General features: G+C 44.5%; 1 long non-coding RNA gene across 1 annotated transcript in view, besides 4 other annotated features; it reads right to left on the bottom strand.

Annotated features, from left to right (window-relative positions):
* BASP1-AS1 (BASP1 antisense RNA 1) overlaps positions 1-20,060 on the bottom strand; it is an 87,395-nt gene that overhangs the window by 4,012 nt on the left and 63,323 nt on the right. The gene's annotated exons all lie outside the window — the stretch shown is intronic.
* Positions 6,352-6,890: an enhancer, noted in NCBI's record as "H3K27ac-H3K4me1 hESC enhancer chr5:17140500-17141038 (GRCh37/hg19 assembly coordinates)". NCBI's record gives its function as "activates a minimal SCP1, AML or CMV promoter by ChIP-STARR-seq in primed H9 embryonic stem cells {active_cell/tissue: H9 hESC(primed)}" and the evidence as "EXISTENCE:reporter gene assay evidence [ECO:0000049][PMID:30033119]".
* Positions 6,891-7,427: an enhancer, noted in NCBI's record as "H3K27ac-H3K4me1 hESC enhancer chr5:17141039-17141575 (GRCh37/hg19 assembly coordinates)". NCBI's record gives its function as "activates a minimal SCP1, AML or CMV promoter by ChIP-STARR-seq in primed H9 embryonic stem cells {active_cell/tissue: H9 hESC(primed)}" and the evidence as "EXISTENCE:reporter gene assay evidence [ECO:0000049][PMID:30033119]".
* Positions 11,665-12,499: an enhancer, noted in NCBI's record as "OCT4-NANOG-H3K27ac hESC enhancer chr5:17145813-17146647 (GRCh37/hg19 assembly coordinates)". NCBI's record gives its function as "activates a minimal SCP1, AML or CMV promoter by ChIP-STARR-seq in naive H9 embryonic stem cells {active_cell/tissue: H9 hESC(naive)}" and the evidence as "EXISTENCE:reporter gene assay evidence [ECO:0000049][PMID:30033119]".
* Positions 17,044-18,011: an enhancer, noted in NCBI's record as "NANOG-H3K27ac-H3K4me1 hESC enhancer chr5:17151192-17152159 (GRCh37/hg19 assembly coordinates)". NCBI's record gives its function as "activates a minimal SCP1, AML or CMV promoter by ChIP-STARR-seq in primed H9 embryonic stem cells {active_cell/tissue: H9 hESC(primed)}" and the evidence as "EXISTENCE:reporter gene assay evidence [ECO:0000049][PMID:30033119]".

The raw sequence follows: 20,060 nt of genomic DNA on the forward strand, positions 1-20,060 counted from the left end.
AAAATGTTATATAAATGGAATCATAACTTGTTGAGATGGACTTTTTTTTCACTCAGCATAATTCCCTTGAGATCCATTCAAGTTGTTGTCTATTCCATGGTATGGCTAGACCACAGTGTGTCTAACCATTTGCCCACTGAGGGACATTTGGCTTGTTTTCAGTTGTTTAGCTCTTGGGAATAAGAGCTACTATGAATATTCTTTTTTCTTTTTTTTTTGACACAGAGTTTCACTCTTGTTGCCCAGGCTGGAGTGCAATGATGTGATCTTGGCTCACTGCAACCTCCAGCTTCCGAGTTCAAGTGGTTCTCTTGCCTTAGCCCCCCAAGTAGCTGGGATTACAGGCATGTGCCACCATGCCCAGCTAATTTTGTATTTTTAGTAAAGACAGGGTTTCTCCATGTAGGTCAGGCTGGTCTTGAACTCCCGACCTCAGGTGATCCACCCACCTTGGCCTCCCAAAGTGCTGGGATTACAGGTGTGAGCCACTGTGCCCGGCCTGAATATTCTTATACAGGTTTTTGCTAAATTACAAAGTGTTGATAAAATAAATTAAAGAAGACCTAATAACTTTTTTTAAAAAAGAGAACTACATTTCTTCAGCATCAAGTCGTATTAGTTAATCTAAAACTTAGTTTCTTTGATGGGCTGGGCCCAGAGGCTCATGCCTGTAGTCCCAGCACTTTGGGAGGCTGAGGCAGGCCTATCACTTAAGGCCAGGAGTTCAAGGCCAGCCTGGCCATCACGGAGAAATCCAATCTCTACTAAAAATACAAAAATTAGCCAGGTGTGGTGGTGTATGCCTGTGGTCCCAGCTACTCGGGAGGCTGAGGCTTGAGAATCACTTGTACCCTGGAGGCGGAGGTTGCAGTGAGCCGAGATCGAGCCACCGCATTCCAGCCTGGGCAACAGAGTAAGAATCTGTCTCAAAAATAAACAGTACAATAAAATTAAAATAAAATTTAGTTTTGTTTTAATTGGCATGGCAGCCTCCTCATGATGGAAGTCTTCCTGGGCTCTGATCTTAAATCCTTACCCTTTTATTATATGGCAAGATTTATTATCGTTTATTGGTGTGGTTTAAATACTCAGATATGGACAAATAATGTAGAGCTTTTATCCTTGTCATTGTCCCCTTCCCTAAAGTGCTGTCTTAGGAATCAGTGGTTTTCTAGGAGTGAGGTGTGTCCTTATTCAACATGGTCCAACAGGTAGCCACTAGCCACCTGTGGCTATCGAGCCTGCAGCATCTTTGAGATGCGCTGTAAGTGTAAAATACAAACCAGGTTGGAAGTCTTAATATGAAAGAATGTAAAATATGTCACTATATTTTTATATTTGTTACATATTGATATTACTGGCCAGGTACAGTGGCTCACATCTGCAATCTCATCACTTTGGGAGGCCAAGGTGGGAGGATCACTTGAAGTCAGGAGTTGGAGATGAGCCTGGGCAACACTGTGAGACCCTATCTCTAAAAAATATATATAATAAAGAAAATGTATTAACTGGGCCATGGTGGTGGGCTCCTGTGGTCCCATCTACTTAGGAGGCTGAGACAGGACGATTGCTTGAGCCCAGGAGTGAGCTATGATCATGCCACTGCATTCTAGCCTGGATGACAGACAACATCTTGTCTCTAAACAAAACAAACAAAGCAAAAAAAGGAAAAATGAAATTATATTACTCTGGCTATATTGGGTTAAATAAAATATATTATTAAAATTAATTTTATCCAGAAAGAAAGAAAAACAAGAAAAAAGAAAATTTCATCCACTTTTTTTTTTACTTAATGTCACTAGTAGAAAATTAAAATTATGTTATGTGGCTTGTATTACTTTTCCATGAGAAAGTGATGCCCAGTAAGGAAATGAAATTATAGAGCAGCTAAGTGACTTGCCCAGAGTCACACTGTAAATATTTTACGTTATGTGATCTGTTTATGCTTGCTTTTATTCCAATGACTACTAATTGGCCACATGTCAATGTCATTTTCTTAGTCCATTTTGTGCTGCTGTAAGAGAATAGTTGAGACCGGGTAACTTATAAAGAATAGATATTTATTCTCTCACAGTTCTGGAGGCTGGGAAGTCCAGGATTAAGGCACTGGCAGCTTAGGGCCCTGTCTCTCTGCTGCCAAGATGGTGTCTCCAATGCTGCATCCCGTGGAGGGGAGAAACTCCAGGTCCTCACATGGCAGAAAAGCAGAAGAGCGAACCCACGCTCGTGAGCATTATTTATAGTGACATTAATTCATTCATGAGGGCAGAGCCTCAGGACCTACACAACTTCCCACAGGCCCCACCTCCCAACACTGATGCACTGGGGATTCGGTTTCAACATGCGTTTCGGAGGCCATGACTGCCATGGTTTGGAGCCAAAAACAGCCAAACCATAGCAGTCATGACTTTGTGCTCAACTTGGGAAGGCAGGAAGAGATGCTTGTGTTTCTCCTGATGGAACAGTCGTGGATGGTCCACATGATTTTGGATGATGGATTCCATTTCAGGGTGCCACTGACGCTTTCCTTTTGTGTCTCCTGAACGCCATTGATGTATGGCCAACCTGAGGTCTGCTTGCTTTAGTACCTTTGCTCTATACTGATGTCTCAACTGGTACAGATATGCTGACATCGCCTTCTACCTTCCACTTTTCTCTCATATCTATTGTCAGTCTTGAAAGCAGATACTAGAAGCTGTGCTTTTAAAAACATTTCAGAATTTGTATTATGTCCTAAATAAGTCCAGCTAATAATGGCTAACATTGATTCAACATTATGTTAAATAGTGTACCGTGAATTACATAACTTAGTTTTCACAGCAACCCAATAGGTTACCTACTAGCATGGCTCCATTTCATAGATGAGGAAACCGAAGCTTAGAGAGGTTGCAGAAATTGCCCAAGATGCACAGGCAGAAAGGGTGTTAAGTCAATATTCTAGTCCTTGCAATTGAATTCCTGCTCTTGATCATTATTATGTATTGCTTGTTCAGAGGGTGAATTGCTTAATGAGTCCTCTATTCACAATAGAAATTTTATGCAAAGATTAAGTACCTATATCCAAAACATCTCTGCAAAACCCATTAAGCCTAACCACTCACAAATTGCACAGAAATCACACAACATACACCACCTTGAAGGTGTTAGAGTCGATGCTTGGGGCTTATGGGCATTTCTTTTTCTTCTTTTACTTTTTGAGACGGAGTTTCACTCTTGTTGCCCAGGCTGGAGTGCAATGGCGTGATATTGGTTCACTGCAACCTCCGCCTCCTGGGTTCAAGCGATTTTCCTGCCTCAGCCTCCTGAGTAACTGGGATTACAGGCATGTGCCACCACACCTGGCTAATTTTTTGTATTTTTAGTAGAGATGGGGTTTCTGCATGTTGGTCAGGCTGGTCTCGAACCCCTGAGCTCAGGTGATCCGCCCGCCTTGGCCTCCCAAAGTACTGGGATTACAGGCGTGAGCCATCTCACCCAGCCATGGCCATTCCTTTTTTTTTTTTTTCTTTTTTTTGAGACGGAGTCTTGCTCTGTAGCCCAGGCTGGAGTGCAGTGGCGCGATCTCGGCTCACTGCAAGCCCCACCTCCCAGGTTGATGCCATTCTCCTGCCTCAGCCTCCCGAGTAGCTGGGACTACAGGCGCCTGCCACCGCGCCCGGCTAATTTTTTTTATTTTTAGTAGAGACGGGGTTTCACCGTGTTAGCCAGGATGGTCTCGATCTCCTGACCTCGTGATCTGCCCGCATCGGCCTTCCAAAGTGCTGGGACTACAGGTGTGAGCCGCGGCGCCGGGCCCCATTTCTTCAATTCATTTCAGGCTGTATTCTTTTTAGGGGAAGATGTCTGTGCTTACATCCTCCCAGAACAATAACAAAGGGTTTTGCTTCACGATTCTTAAGTTCTAAAATTTCTTTAATTTTTTTTTTTTTGAGATGGAGTCTTGCTCTGTCACCCAGGCTGGAGTGTAGTGGCACAATCTCGGCTCACTGAAACCTCTGCCTCCCGGGTTCAAGTGATTCTTCTGCCTCAGCCTCCTGAGTAGCTGAGATTACAGGCGCCCACCACCATGCCCGGCTAATTTTTGTATTTTTAGTAAAGACAGGGCTTCACCATGTTGCCCAGGCTGGTCTCAAACCCCTGACCTTAGGTGATCTTCCCTTGTCAGCCTCCCAAAGTGCTGGGATTACAGGCGTGAGCCACCGCCTGGCCTAAAGTTTCTTTCATATTATCTGTAATTTATATGCTTACAAAAATGAACATGTATGTATGGAAAACTGGTGTTCCCAGTCCACCATTGGTACAAAAGTCTCGTATATCTTAGAATGATCAGAGTTGAAGGAGACTGGTTCTCTGCTGCAGGGGTTAGCAGACATTTTCTGTAAAGCACCGTAGAGTGAGTATTTCAGACTTTGCAAGCAGTGACATGGTCTTTGTTGCAACTGTTCAACCCTGCCACCGTAGGTTGAAAGCAGCCATAGAAAATAATGAATGGGCATGGGGATGTACAAATAAAACTTTATTTACAAAACTAAGGAGACATAGGAGACATAGTTTGTTTACCCTTGTTTTAGTACAACCCTTTATTTATTTATTTATTTTTTTGAGATGGAGTTTCGCTCTTGTTGCCCAGGCTGGAGTGCAGTGGTAGATCTCAGCTCACTGCAACCTCCGCCTCCCGGGTTCAAGTGATTCTCCTGCCTCAGCCTCCTGAGTAGCTGGGATTACAGGCATGTGCCACCACGCCTGGCTAATTTTGTAATTTTAATAGAGATGAGGTTTCTCCATGTTGGTCAGGCTGGTCTCGAACTCCTGACCTCAGGTGATCCACCTGCCTTGGCCTCCCCCACGGGTGTTAGCCACCGTGCCCGGCCTGTACCACCCTTTTTTTATAGTTCAAGAAAGAGGACTGGATTAATCAGCTTGCCCAATTTAAGCCAAGAGCTTGTTGTAGAACAAGGTCCAGAAAACAGACTTCCTGGCAATCAGCATTTCTTCCTACTATGTATATGAATTCACATTTAAGTTCCTCCCCTGCCTCCCTGTAAAAATTATAAAAATTACAAACATTCAAAAAGATGTAGAAAATAACATAAAAATCAGCTGCATACAGCCATCACTAAGCCTGAGGGAAAAAAAATTACAAATAAAATTGAAGCTTCTTGTGTACCTCGTCCCAATCCCTGCCCTCTCCCCATCCAAGGTAACCATTATCCTGACTTGGACGTTTATTACACCCTTGCCAGGCTTCATCTTTTATAACATGTATATGTCTCCTGAAACAATGTGTAATGCTGTTTTACATATATTAATGCAAATGGCATCAAACTATATGTATCCTTCATCACTCTCTCACAATAAAATGTAAACAATAATTTTAGAGGAATCTTTTTTTCCCAAAGCAAAAAGTTAGAGACCTAAATTACTATTAGCAGGAAAATGGATAAATAACATTAGAAAAATGGTCCAATTTTTCCCTAAAATTCTTGATTGGAAAGGGATTATTTATTGAAAAGAGAATTGGAAACAAGATGCACATAGAATATTTTTTGAATCTAAAGCTACTTGTAAAGATGTGGGGCCAAATGTCTAGCTGCGTGACCTTAAGCAAGTTATACAACCACTCTGTGCCTCTATCATCTAACAGTGGAAGGAACAAGTGTATCTACTTTTTAGGGCCACAGAGAGTAGCAAAGGAGTTAAGGCATATAACATGCTTACAATAATGCCTGGAATACAATGTTAGCGCTTATTGCGTCTAACAGTCAGAATTTGAAGTTTAAACTTTTAATTTTTATTGTTGTTGTTGCTGTTGTAGAGACAAGGTCTCGATATATTGCCCAGGCTGGTCTCAAACTCCTAAGCTCAAGTGATTTTCCCGCCTTGGCTTCCCAAAGTGCTGGGATTACAGGCATGAGCCACCATGCCCAGCCTGAAGTTGAAATTTTTAAGTTTCCATAAAAGGAATGAAGATAATGGAAATATACTGACTGAAACTGCAGATGTTACTTAATTAGTTGGAGTTGCTAATTCTCTGGACTAAGAACCAGTATAAATTTGAAAATTACCTTGATAAATTGGGAAATTGTTGTTGAAGGAAATAGAGTGGAGTAACACAAACCTGGTCAGTATAAAAAGAGGCCAGGTGCAGTGACTCATGCCTATAGTCCCAGCACTTTGGGAGGCTGAGGCGGGAGGATCACTTGAGCCCAGGGGTTTGAGACCAGCCTGGGCAACATAGTGAGACCCCATCTCTATAATTAAAAAAAAAAATTAAAAAATGTTAAACAGGTGGGGCTCAGTGGCTCACGCCTGTAATCCCAGCACTTTGGAAGGCCAAGGTGGGCGGATCACCTGAGGTTGGGAGTTTGAGACCAGCCTGACCAACATGGAGAAACCCCATCTCTATTAAAAATACAAAATTAGCCAAGTGTGGTGGCGCATGCCTGTAATCCCAGATACTTGGGAGGCTGAGGCAGGAGAATTGCTTGAACCCGGGAGATGGAGGTTGCAGTGAGCCGAAATCGCGCCATTGCACTCCAGCCTGGGCAACAAAAGCAAAATTACGTCTCAAAAAAAAAAAAAAAAAAAAATAGAGTGTTAAGGCCGGGCACGGTGGCTCACGCCTGTAATCCCAGCACTTTGGGAGGCTGAGGCGGGCAGATCATGAGGTCAGGAGATCGAGACCATCCTGGCTAACACGGTGAAACTGAGAGGTGACAGCATGCTGGCAGTCCTCAGAGCCCTCGCTTGCTCTTGGCACCTCTCCTGCCTGGGCTCCCACTTTGGTGGCATTTGAGGAGCCCTTCAGCCCCCCACTGCACTGTGGGAGCCCCTTTCTGGGCTGGCCAAGGCCGGAGCCCACTCCCTCAGCTTGCATGGAGGTGTGGAGGGAGAGGCACGAGCGGGAACCGGGGCTGCGTGCGGCGCTTGCGGGCCAGCGGGAGTTCCGGGTGGGCGTGGGCCCGTCTCTACTAAAAATACAAAATATTAGCCAGGCGTGGTGGTGGGGGCTTGTAGTCCCAGCTACTCGGGACGCTGAGGCAGGAGAATGGCGCGAACCCGGGAGGCGGAGCTTGCAGTGAGCCGAGATCGCGCCACTGCACTCCAGCCTGGGTGACAGAGCGAGACTCCATCACCCCCCCAAAAAAAAAAAAAAAAGAGTGTTAAACAAACAAAAACCCGCATTTTTTTTTTAAGTATGAAAAGAGGTAGTGTTACAGACTGCATGTTTGTGTCCTCCCTTCTTGACCCCAATTCATATGTTGAAACCCTAATCCCCATTGTGATAGGAACTTTGGAAGGTGGTTAGGGTTACATGAGGTCATGAGGGGGGAGCCCTCATCATGGGATTAGTGCTCTTCTCAGTGAAGATACCAGTGTGCTGTCTACAAACCAGAAGAGAGCCCTCGCCAGACTCTAGACCTGCCAGTGCCTTGATCTTAGACTTCCCAGCCTTCAGAACAGTAAGAAATAAATGTCGTTGTTTAAGTCACCCAGTCTATGGTATTTTTATTACAGCAGCCTGAGATGACTAATACAGATACTGTTAATTTCTTTCCTTTTTTTTTTTTTTTTTGAGATGGAGTCTCGCTCTGTTGCCTGGGCTGGAGTGCAGTGGCGCAATCTTGGCTCACTGCAACTTCCGTCTCCCGGGTTCACGCGATGCTCCTGCCTCAGCCTCCCGAGTAGCTGGGGTAAGTCATACACCACCACATCTGGATAATTTTTTGTATTTTTAGTAGAGATGGGGTTTCACTATGTTGGCCAGGCTGGTCTCGAACTCCTGACCTCATGATCCGCCCACCTCGGCCTCCCAAAGTGCTCGGATTACAGGCCTGAGCCACTGCGCCCGGCAGATACTGTTAATTTCAATCCACAGATCGACACTGAGAAGTACACAGCATGGCACTCAAGAGTGAGAATCCAGGGATCCAGTTGTAGATTAGAACCCAGTCTTCACCATTCACAGCCAGGATCATCTCAGGCCAGTTCCTGAACCTCTCCAAGCCTGGATCCTCTGCTATAAATTGCAGATGATGGTAGACTAACCGCAGAGGGCGGCTGTCAGCCATTAACACAGGGCAACAGTTAGATGCTGCTATTACTGTTGTTGCTGAGATTATTACAAGTTTAGTGGCAAAATGACCTGGGTGCAGAGAACTCGGTTTACTAAATGAATACTCCTCAGAAATATAGCAATTCTGTGGGAAAAAGCCAGCATGGTACTGAGATGTCGGAAGTATAACGGGCGCAGTTTAGGAAATCATTCTCCTTTGTGTATTCTTTCTCTAATCCACCTTAGTCCAAGCCTCACTAGAAAATGCATTTTGGGGGTTTGTTTCCGCTGTTAAAAAATATTGTAAAGAAATAGGAGGCACACAAATGTTTTAAACGATGACGGTTGGTTCTATAAGAAAAGGTTCAAGGGTTTGGGGGTGTTTGGTCAGGAGAAAAGTAGACTGAGGGGGTTTAATGACAATCTTTAGGTAAATGACAAGTTTTAATGTGGGGAATGTGCACTAGTTTTTCATCAGTTTTGTGGAGGACCAAATTAGTGGACATAGACTTAAATTAAAGAGGAGGATTTCACATCTGTAACAAGCTCCCAAAAATCATAACGAGAAACTGCTGCAGGGAGCTGCCAAGTGGGAAGGAGAGCTGGCATCCAGAGGGCTGAAGAAAAACACAAATGAAAATATGTCATTAAGATACTTTTTCTTGGCCTGGTGCAGTGGCTCATGTCTGTAATCCTAGCACTTTGGGAGGCCAAGGCAGGAGGATCACTTGAGCCCAAGATTTCAAGACCAAGCTGGGCAACATAGTGAGACCCTTGTCTTTATTTTTTAAAAAATATATATTTTTTAGGCCAGGCATGGTGGCTCACACCTGTAATCCCAGCATTTTGAGAGGCCAAGGCTGGCAGATCATGAGGTCAGGAAATCGAGACCATCTTGGGCAACCCGGTGAAACCCCGTCTTTACTAAAAATACAAAAAAAAAAAAAATTAACCGGGGGTGGTGGCAGATGCCTGTAGTCCCAGCTACTTGGGAGGCTGTGGCAGGAGAATGGCGTGAACCCGGGAGGCAGAGCTTGCAGTGAGCCAAGATAGCACCACTGCACTCCGGCCTGGGTGACAGAGCGAGACTCTGTCTCAAAAAAAAAACACAAAAAACAAAAAAACATATTTTTTTAAAAAAGTTATTTTTTCCTAAAATCCCTTCAGGCTCAATAGGTCATTTATTCTTTGGATCTAATTCTAGGCAAAAAATGTAAAAGTGCTCTAAATAGTCATGCAATTTAAAAATTTTCAGTGTAAACAAAACAAACGGATCTTTCTCACTGACGTCTAGGACATTTATCAAGTTTCGCTCTTCCTGGAGCCGTTTCCTACTGGCCTCTGGTTTCTTGGTTCCATTAGAGGGCTGGGGTTCCTAACTTTCTATGTCTGCCCATGGATGTTTATAATTCACCAGCTGCATTTTCTCCTTGACTGTGTTCCTCATATCCTCACTCAAGGCCACCTGTCTCCTTCCTCCAGGGTCTGAATTCCAGAAGCTGCACGTGTTTGCTTCCTCTTTTATTATTGCTACTTACAGCATCTAGAATGAAGTCACGCCCTGACAGCTTCTATGAGGATCGCCTCCTGCCACATGCATTTACAGTTCATAATGGAGTTGAAGCTTTTTACATTTTGTAATTCATATGTGCACATTCCTGAGAAGTATTTCCAAGGTATGTTTTTGCCTATGAAAATGTATATGCTCAGGCCAGGTGCAGTGGCTCACGCCTGTAATTCCAGCACTTTGGGAGGCCTAGGCAGGTGGATCACCTGAGGTCAGGAGTTCGAGACCAGCCTGGCCAACATGGCAAAACCCCGTTTCTACTAAAAATACAAAAATTAGCTGGGCATGGTGGCATGAGCCTGTAATCCCAGCTACTCAGGAGACTGAGACAGGAGAATCACTTGAACTCGGAAGACAGAGGTTGTAGTGAGCCGAGATCACCCCACTGCACTCCAGCCTGGGGGACAGAGCAAAACTCCGTCAAAAAAAAAAAAAAGAAAATGTATACACTCAGTCTTCTGACATGACAAAAATATAACAAGTTTATCCTAAAATTATAACTTTTAAGTCTGGAATAGTAGGGCATGGCATGGGATACACAAGGGTTTGGCCAACCACTGCCCATGGGTTAAATCTGGCCCTCCATCTGTTTTTGTACAGCCTGTGGGCTAAGAATGGCTTTTACATTTTCAAATATTTGAAAAACACCGAGTCTGGGAAACATAGGGAGACTCTGTCTCTACAAAAAAAAAAAAAAAAAAAAAGCTAAGGGTGGCGGTGCACACCTATGGTCCTAGCTACTCGGGAGGCTGAGGAAGGAGGACTGCTTGAGCTCAGGAGGTCAAGGCTGCTGTGAGCCGTGATGGTTGAGCTGCATTTCAGCCTGGGCAACAGAGTGAGACTCAGCTTGAAAAATGAAATAAAATGAAGGAAAACCAAAAGCAGGAAGCAGCACTTTCAGTTGGTACCTTCAGTTTTCCTGCTCTTTCAAGCCATGGGAGAAACAAAACCACATGGCAAAAGTCAGAGAAAAAAGCATATAAAGAAGTGCAGGGGAAAACTCTGTCTTATTTCTGAGAAGAAGGTATTATGTCCAGGAGTAGAAATTCACATTAGGAGACTTCAATAAGCCCAGTAATGGGACTGCTGGGTCAAATGGTATTTTTGGTTCTAGATCCTTGAGGAATCGCCACACTGTCTTCCACAATGGATGAACTAATTGATGAATAAACTAATTGATGAACCCACTAACAAATGAATAAATTGGAAACTGAAGTGCATTTTCCAAAAAGTAGGAGCAAAAGCCATTTTGAATACCAAGAACATATTGTGGGGAACAAGATTCTTTCAGGAAAACAACAACAACAACAACAACGAAAACCAGCTGTTTTAAACATCTAATGTGCAGAAAAACGAATTCCACCATGACCGTCGTTTCACAGACTGCCAACAGCTTCCCTCGGGTTCTTTTTCCTGTAAAAGCTGCCCCTCTTTATTACAAAATCACAGCGTCTGCTTATAAGGTCTGCGTTTTATTTTCATTAATCCTGAAAGCAAAAAAAAAAAAAAAAAAGTCATCCTTTCCTTTTGAACTTTAAAACTATTCTGACCAGTGTAGAAAATACTTCTGCGTAGATGGTATTAATCTCTTCATCATAAAACAACATGAAATGAAATGCATTTTGAAATGCAAAAAACCAGTTTCACAAGAAACAAATGAAATACTCATGCTAATCTATTTCATGTTAATTTGGAGGATGACAATAACTGGGGGTGTGTGGTGTGTGTGTGTGTGTCTGAGAGAGAGATCTTTTAATAAACATGCTAAAGCTTTTCAGTGGAAAAACACATTTCTTGCCATTTTATTTATTTATTTATTTAATTTTTGTTTATTTATTTTTTTGAGACGGAGTTTCACTCTTGTCACCCAGGCTGGAGTGCAATGGCGTGATCTTGGCTCACTGCAACCTCCGCCTCCCGGGTTCAAGTGATTCTCCTGTCTCAGCCTCTGAGTAGCTGGGATTACAGGCGCCTGCCACCATGCCCAGCTAATTTTTGTATTTTTAGTCGAGAGGGGATTCCACCACGTTGGCCTGGCTGGTCTTGAACTTCTGACCTCAAGTGATCGGCCTGCCTTGGCCTCCCAAAGTGCTGGGATTACAGGTGTGAGTCACTGCATCTGCCATGTTGCCGTTTTCAAGGGAACTAAGCAAAATCTTACAGCAAATTAGGGATAGAATCAATAAAATCACCTGTTTAATGTAAAGTGTTGGATTAGCAAACTGATTTTTGAGGTGCTTGGTTTTCCTTATTTTTGTTGTTTAGGTAAGTGTTCTTCTAATCTGTATTTGAAGTTGTCTTTCTCTTTTGATTGTATGCCTTGTGGCTAATGACTCATTACTGCACCTGACATCCAGGGAATTCAGTGGCTTTGTAAGCACCCCCTGGGAGGAAGATTACTTGGACAAACAGCAATGAAAACAGTTCGACTTACACATCTGAATGAAAATAAAATGAGAATTGTTTTCATTCTATGTGTTTTTGTACCCTTTTGGTGAATGGCTACTTCCCCAGTGCTCCTAGTAAATGCAAAGTACTGCTCATTCAGAGTAGTGAGCACCCATTGTTGGCCTCAGTGTTAATTTCTCACAGCCTGGAGAGGTTATAATAAGCAGATGATGGAATGCTTATACTAGGGTCTGTGTTGTTACTATTGACCTTGCTGTACATGTTCTCTAACGTACATTTCCCCCAAATTCATCAAGTGGGACAATATCTTCTTCTCTTAAGGAAAAAGCCCTATGAGGACGGAGCCAAAGGTCTCTCCTCACTAGGACCAATGCAGACTGCAGATCTGCGAGACAATCCGCTGTAGTCACAGCATCTTCTGTATGTGAAGCCTTTGAGAAACAAAGGTGACTTGAGGAGGTTGACTTTTGAAAAAGTGAACTGGCAGGGGCCAGTGCTGCTGATCTAATTACTCTCCTTCCTTCCCTCCTTCCTCTCCTTCCCTTCCCTTTCCTTTCCTTCCTCTCCTTCCCTTTCTTCCTTTCTTCCTTCCTGCCTGCCTTTCCTTTCCTTCCTCTCCTTTTTCCTTCGCTTCCTTCCTTCCTTCCTTCCTTCCTTCCTTCCTTCCTGCCTTCCTGCCTTCCTGCCTTCCTGCCTTCCTGCCTTCCTGCCTTTCTGCCTTTCTGCCTTCCTGCCTTCTTGCCTTCCTTGCTTCTCTTTCATTTCACTCTGTCACCCAGGCTGGAGTACAGTGGCACAATCTCCACTCTCTACAACCTCCTCTTCCTGGGTTGAAGCAATTCTCCTGCCTCAGCCCCCCAAGTAGCTGGGATTACAGGTGCCCACCACCATGCCCGGCTAATTTTTGTGTTTTTAGTAGAGATGGTGTTTCACCATGTTGGCCAGGCTGGTCTCGAACTCCTGACTTCAAGTGATCTGCCTGCTCCAGCCTCCCAAAGTGCTGGGATTATAGGCCTGAACCACTGGGTCCGGCGACCTAATTACTCATTTGAGGAGGTTTTTCGCAGTTTCCTCTGGGATACTGGGACTCCGGCAGCCGCTAGAGGACTACCATTTTGTTGGACAAACAGAGAGTGTAGGGAGTGTAGGATGGACCCACCTGTCACTCCTTTTTAATCTATCTGCATTTCCGCGGGTTTTAGTCTATTCTTTGTAGCCAGCCACAAGATCATCCATCCATCTGTGAAGTCATTCATTACTGCGAGCTCAAGAAGGAAGTATGCAGTTGCATTCATTTCAGAAAGCACATGTCGTGCAAGTGTGAAAGGCTTTGTCCTGGGTTCTGAATGACAATGCTGGAGTTTGTGCTCGCCGAAGCCCCCTCCGAGACCACATGTGTTGCTCATAAGCACAGATGCAGGTGGCAGAGGCCTCTCAACTCTCAACTTGGCTCTAAGGAAAAGCACTTTTGACCTGATCCACAACATCGCCACGCTGAGTTAGAAAGCCCCAATTTGAGGATGCAACTTTTAGTTGAAGGGTATCCTTGCTGCATACGTGCTCAAACTTGATATTCCAGACATGATGACACGAAATGACCCAGATGTGGGGGCTGCGCCCATCCTGTATGCTGTCACCGCCAGGCTCAGCCTGTCAAGTTGCTCCTTTACAGTGGAACGCTTCCTAAAGTTAAGCAGGGGTGGAGAGGTCATCTTTTAGCTGGTTGAGACAGAGTTATTACCCAATTCGCTCTTTTGCTTTCTTCTAGCTATTCAAATTATCATAGTAGATATAAGTGAACTAAGAAAATTGGCAGAGTGCACTGGGATTCTTGTGATTTAACATTAAGTTTTGGCTCTAGCAGTCTTTCAGAACTTTGGGTAGGTCAAAAGATTTCTTAAGTCTCAGTTTATCTGGAGGAAAAGCATGAATTTCCTTCTGGTGTAAACTCATCGGTATTACAAAACAGGGCAATTACAGATCCACCAGAAGCAACTCTAACTTATGGATGCCTAGCTAAAGCCGAGCCCATACATCTAAATGGGTGGTGGAGATCGGGGTGGCAAGGATGGGTGTAATGGATTCCAGCCTTCATCTGCCCTCAGTGAAGGCAGAGGGCCACAACTCTTCTTCCCCCCACCTTTTTTAGAGACAGGATCTCATTCTGTTATGCAGGATGGAGCACAGTGGCTCAATCATAGCTCCCTGCAGCTTCAAACTCCTGGGCTCAAGTGATCCTCTTGCCTTGGCCTCCTGAGTAGCTGGGACGACAGGCATGTGCTATCTTGCCCAGTTTTAACATTTTTGTAGAGATGGTGTCTGTGTTGCCCAGGCTGGTCTCAAACTCCTGGCCCCAAGCAGTCTTCTCACCTCAGCCTCCCAAAGTGGTGGGAGTACAGGCATGAGCCACCATACCCTGTCTAACAACCTTTGTTTTTCTATTCTAATCGCCCCCAAATTTATTGACACATGGAAACATTTCCAAGTTGTGCTCAGGGCTTCTTTAGGTAGGGTAGCCAATTGTCTGTATTTGCCCAGAATGCTCTGGTTTTATCACTAAAAGTCCTACATCCTAGGAAGGCCCCTAGCCCTGAGAATATCAAGGTGCTCAGTCATTGTACACTCATCCCTAAGAGAAACACTGAGCACAACATGGTTCTGTAGTCAAAGAATCTTAGAAACCTCTTCCTCTTGTTTTCATTTAAAAAAAAAATTGTGGTAAAAAAACACATAACTTAGAATTTACCATCTTAATTATAGTCATGTGCTGCATAATGACATTTTGGTCAATAGTGGGCCTCATATATCATGGTGTTCCTGTAAGATTATAATATCATATATTTACATTATCTATGCTTTGATATGTTTGATATACAAAAATTTACCATTGTGTTACAGTTCCCTATAGTCTTCAGTACAGTAACCTGTTGTACAGGTTTGTAGCCTAGGAGAAATAGGCTCTACCATGTAGCTTAGGTGTGTAGTAGGCTATAGCGTCTGGGTTTGTGTGAGTACACTCTCTGATGTTAACACAGTGATGAAATAGCCTAACAATGCATTTCTCCAAATGTATCCTCATCATTAAGCAAAACAACTGTTTCTTTTTTCTTTTTCTTTTTTTTTTTTTTGAGACAGGGTCTTGCTCTGTCACCCAGCCTGGAGTGCAGTTGTGCAATCTTGGCTCACTGCAACCTCTGTCTCCAAGGTTCAAGCAATTCTCCTGCCTCAGCCTCCCAAGTAGTTGGGACTATAGGCGCACGCCACCATGCCCGGCTAATTTTTGTATTTTTAGTAGTGACGGGGTTTCACCATGTTGTCCAGGCTGGTCTCGAACTTCTAGCTTCAAGTGATCCACCTCAGCCTCCCAAAGTGTTGGGATTACAGGCGTGAGTCACTCTACCTGACCCATGACTGTATTTCTAAGCGTACAGTTCAGTGGTATTAAGTATGCTTGCATTGTTGTTTTTTTTTTTGAGATATAAAAGTCATAATAATATATTGAAGTATTTAATAAGCTTCTCAGTGAAGGAACTTGTTAAAACTTACTCTTTACCAAACTTCTGCGGTCATGGAGCCTTTGGGCAATAGCTCTTAACGCTGCTGAACATAACTTGAACATAATGCTCGTATGGAAACCCTTTTTTATCTTGCTCAGTAATAAAAGTATTGGACAATATTTTCCATTAAGCAAGTTTCTGCTTTCTGGAAGTATCTATAGACCTTCCCTAATTCACTTCAAGAGCTGAGAGAGAGACATGTATCTGATATCCAGAAGTTTAACTAAGAATATGTTTTTCCCTTAGTACAAAGGTGTTACAAGTGATGGTTAGAGTTACCAGAGTTGTATATGGGTTGAATAGGCTTTTATGCTTTGGCCTAGGAAGCTTCTCTCTGCAAAATTATCAGCTGCTTAGGAAGAACAGCTGGTACCTCTGGGGTCTGAATAGTGATTGGGACACAGTGGGCATTCAAGATATTTTTACTGAGCTGAACTAATGTTTATTTTTACTATTGCTTCCATTGAGGTAGTGAATTTTTTGTTTGTTTGTTTTTACTTTATTTTAATTTTTTGAGACAGGGTCTTGCTCTGTTGCTTAGGCTGGAATGCAGTGATGCGATCATAGCTCACTGCAGCCTCAATCTCCCGGGCTCAGGCCATCTTCTCGTACCAGCCTCCTGATTAGCTGGGACTACAAGTATACACCCTCACGCCTGGCTAATTTTTTATTTTTAGTAGAGACGAGGTCTTATTATGTTACTCAGGCTGGTCTGGAACTCCTGAGCTCAAGTGATCCTCCTACCTCGGCCTCCCAAAGTGCTGGGATTATAGGCCTGAGCTATTGTGCATGGCCAGTAATTAATTATGAATTATATATATGATACGCTTAGTTTAAAAACTGGAGACTACTTGTATTTATATTTGAAAGTTGTTTGTGATTAAAAAATTTTAAGGGTGGAATTTATAGTTTAAACCATCTTTTAAAATTTCCCACCAAAATAGCTTTCTTTGTGATGATAGTTCTATTTCTGAGAAAGAGCAGGCACAACTGCCGAATTCCAGATGTCAGAACATGGCATGGGCTCCAAAAATGGCAGCCAGGGCTACCATATGAGTTGGCAGTTCTCACAGAGAAGTCCTTGGAGAAGTTAAAAGTGGATGTAGATGAAGAGAACGTTGTGTATTCCAGCTAACATCAGAATGGAAGCCAGAATCTACGTCACCCAAATCCTGGGCTGATGAGCTCTTGTTATACTTTATCTTGGTATTCTTCAGAATATGTCTTCCCTGGAGAAAACATAAGGTGAGGATTCAATTCCAAGGTCAAATGAGTTAGCACAAGCTCTTTTCCCTTCCTCCTTCAATACCTAGTAAATTGGTATTATATTTTCTTTTCTTTTTTCTTTTCTTTTTTTTTAGAGACGGAGTCTTGCCCTGTTGCCCAGGCTGGAGTGCAGTGGTGCGATCTCGGCTTACTGCAACTCCTGGGTTCAAGCGACTTTCCTACCTCAGCTTCCCAAGTAGCTGGGATTGCAGGTGTGCACTACCACACCCAGCTAATTTTTGCATTTTTAGTAGAGACAGTGTTTCTCCATGTTTTCCAGGCTGGTCTCGAACTCCTGGCCTCAAGTGATCCACCTGCCTCGACCTCCCAAAGTGCTGGGATTACAGGCGTGAGCCACCGTGTCCGGCATATACATACATATATATATATATTGGAGCCAGGGTTTTACTCTGTCACCCAGGCTGGAGTGTGGTGGTGTGATCATAGTTCACGGCAGCCTCGAACTCCTGGGCTCAGGTAATCCTCCCACCTCAGCCTACCGGAGCAGCTGGGACTACAAACATGTGCCATCAGACCTGGCTAATTTTTTGTAAAGATGGGGTTTTGCCATGTTGTGCAGGCTGGTCTCGAACTCCTGGGTTCAAGCAATCCTCCTGCCTCGGCCTCCCGAAGTGTTTGGATTACAGGCGTGAGCCACTGCACCCGGCCTGTATGGTATTTTTTATAAACCAATGTTGCAGCGTCAGATCAGGTTTCCTGAAATTATCCTTGTTTGGAAGCGACACCATTTGTAGCTCCTCAGAGCTCTGTGATGATGGAAAAAAGGATGTTTCTTGGGGAGAGTTTTGGGGATTTACATCATAAAGGAGAAGAGAAGGAGCAGGATGAAGTAAGGGAGAGACGTTGAGCTGTGGCACAGTCTTAATAAAGGTCTCAGCCAGGACCTCAGGAGCTCTGAAGGCGGGATGGTCTTGCAAAGCTGACTCACTGTGGCCTCGGACCCCCACGGAGGTCAGCCATGGAATGCAGGCATCTGGAGATGGGTCTGTGACTTTCAGTGAAGAGGCTCCTTTCAATCCTTGTAGGGGATGGACTAGGAAGCTTTCATTCCTGAGGGGGAATCTGCAGAGCAGTGCAGCGCCGTCTTCCCAGGACGCTTGGTTGTTTCTGGGCAGGAGAGTATTAGTTCAAACTGTTCTACGCTGACTTCTGTGATGCCTCAAAGAGCACAAAGTGAACCCAATTCAGAAGTTGCTACGTAGCAGATTCCTTTTCAGAATGAACACTGCACAGATAATAACAATCCTTTTAATGTCCACCTGCTGGAGGCTAATTCAGTTTACTTTGATGAGGGGGGAGGGGAGGAGAGGGAGGAAGAGGATGAGGAGAATGAAGAGAGAGAGATTTTGATAGAAACAAGAGGCCTGGACTTTAAAAAAGGCAGTGCTGCCAGACTATGGGCATTGATGATTACTTTGTATATTTTCACACAACTGTAAGCTGTGCATCAGTTGTTTTAAGTTTAAGTATTGCATAATGTAAGTATAAAGTTGGCCCCTGTTTGGGGAGAGTCCTTGGAGCCCTTAACGCCAGAGACAGCCTGGAATAGTGGTCCATGGCCGCCTGGCCTCCAGAGCAACTGCCCCGCTCAATTTCCCCAATTCCATGACACCTGGGCTGCGTGGCTGTGCGTGTTGGGTTCTCAGCGTCATGCCAGAAGCTGCATCAGAAGCGGGTTGGAACTTTTCACTCTGAGGCACTGCTCAAGATGCACAATCCCTGGTTGCTGTTTCTCCCCCTAACTCATCCCCTTTACTACGTTGTCCTGTTTGGTTCATCTAGAGCCTCCTGTCCTTTTTATTGGAAAGTCTTTCCCTATATCTCCAACCCACTGTAGACTGGTCAGTTGTCCTCCCATAGGGACAGTTTATTTTTAAAAACTTAGAACCATTCCAATGGGGGCAGCTGTTTCTCCGGCATATCCTAAATCTGGAAGGAGGAGTCAACATTGACCTTGGTCCCCCTTCCGGTGCCTAGACATTACTTTACATCCCTTGTGTAAAATCCTCTTTGTTTTGGGTCATGTCATCTGCCTCATCTACCCAGCACCCCTGTGGAACCACCTCGTTGGTTCACGGTCTCTTTCTCTAGGTCACCACCTATGACATCTGGGGTCAATTTGACGTCCATGTGGACAGTCCCAAACACAGCAGCCTCTAATGCTGTTTTATTTTAGAATCAATAACATTTACCAGCCGGGCGTGGTGGCTCACGCCTGTAATCCCAGCACTTTGGGAGTCTGAGGCGGGTGGATCACAAGGTCAGGAGATCGAGACCATCCTGGCTAACATGGTGAAACCCCGTCTCTACTGAAAATACAAAAAAAATTAGCCAGGCGTGGTGACAGGCGCCTGTAGTCCCAGCTACTCAGGAGGCTGAGGCAAGAGAATGGCGTGAACCCGGGAGGCGGAGCTTTCAGTGAGCCGAGGTCATGCCACTGCACTCCAGCCTGGGCGACAGAGCTAGACTCCATCTCAGAAAAAAAAAAAAAAAAAAAAAAAAGAACCAATAACATTTCTCTCCCCTGCACTTAAGCATCCTGAACTCTTTTTAATACTCTTTTTAGCTTCAACAGATTCACCTCTGAAAACTTCAGCAGCAACCACCTACTGTCTTGGCTGGAGTTCCCCAAAAAACAGACCCTGAAGAAGGACTCCCATACAAGTCGTTTCTATGGGAGCTAATCCCAGTGTTGGGGTGGAGGACTGAGACAAGGAAGGGAAAGAAGCTAATAAAAGAGTCCAATGGCAAGCAAGTGCTCACCATGGGCAACTGGAACCATCCCCACTGGGGAACTCTGGGAGGCAGCAAGAACATCCCACCGGGGGAAGGCCAAGGAGCTGCATTAGACAGTCACTGATTCCTGACGAGTGTTGGCTGGGGGTTGCTTCTAGGGGGAATCTGGTGCCCAGCACTTCTGGCCTGGAAGGGAGTTGAGACAAAAGGAGGTGGCCGGGCATGGTAGCTCATGCCTGTAATCCCAGCACTTTGGGAGGCCGAGGCAGGCGGATCGCCTGAGGTCAGGAGTTCAAGACCAGCCTGGCTGACATAGTGAAACCCTATTTCTACTAAAAATACAAAAATTAGCTGGGCTCGGTGGCAGACACCTGTAATCCCAGCTACTTGGGAGGCTGAGGCAGGAGAATCGCTTGAACCTGGGAGGCAGAGGTTGCAGTGAGCCGAG

This window comes from Homo sapiens, chromosome 5, assembly GCF_000001405.40.
Source record: "Homo sapiens chromosome 5, GRCh38.p14 Primary Assembly".
Taxonomy (NCBI): Eukaryota; Metazoa; Chordata; class Mammalia; order Primates; family Hominidae; genus Homo; species Homo sapiens.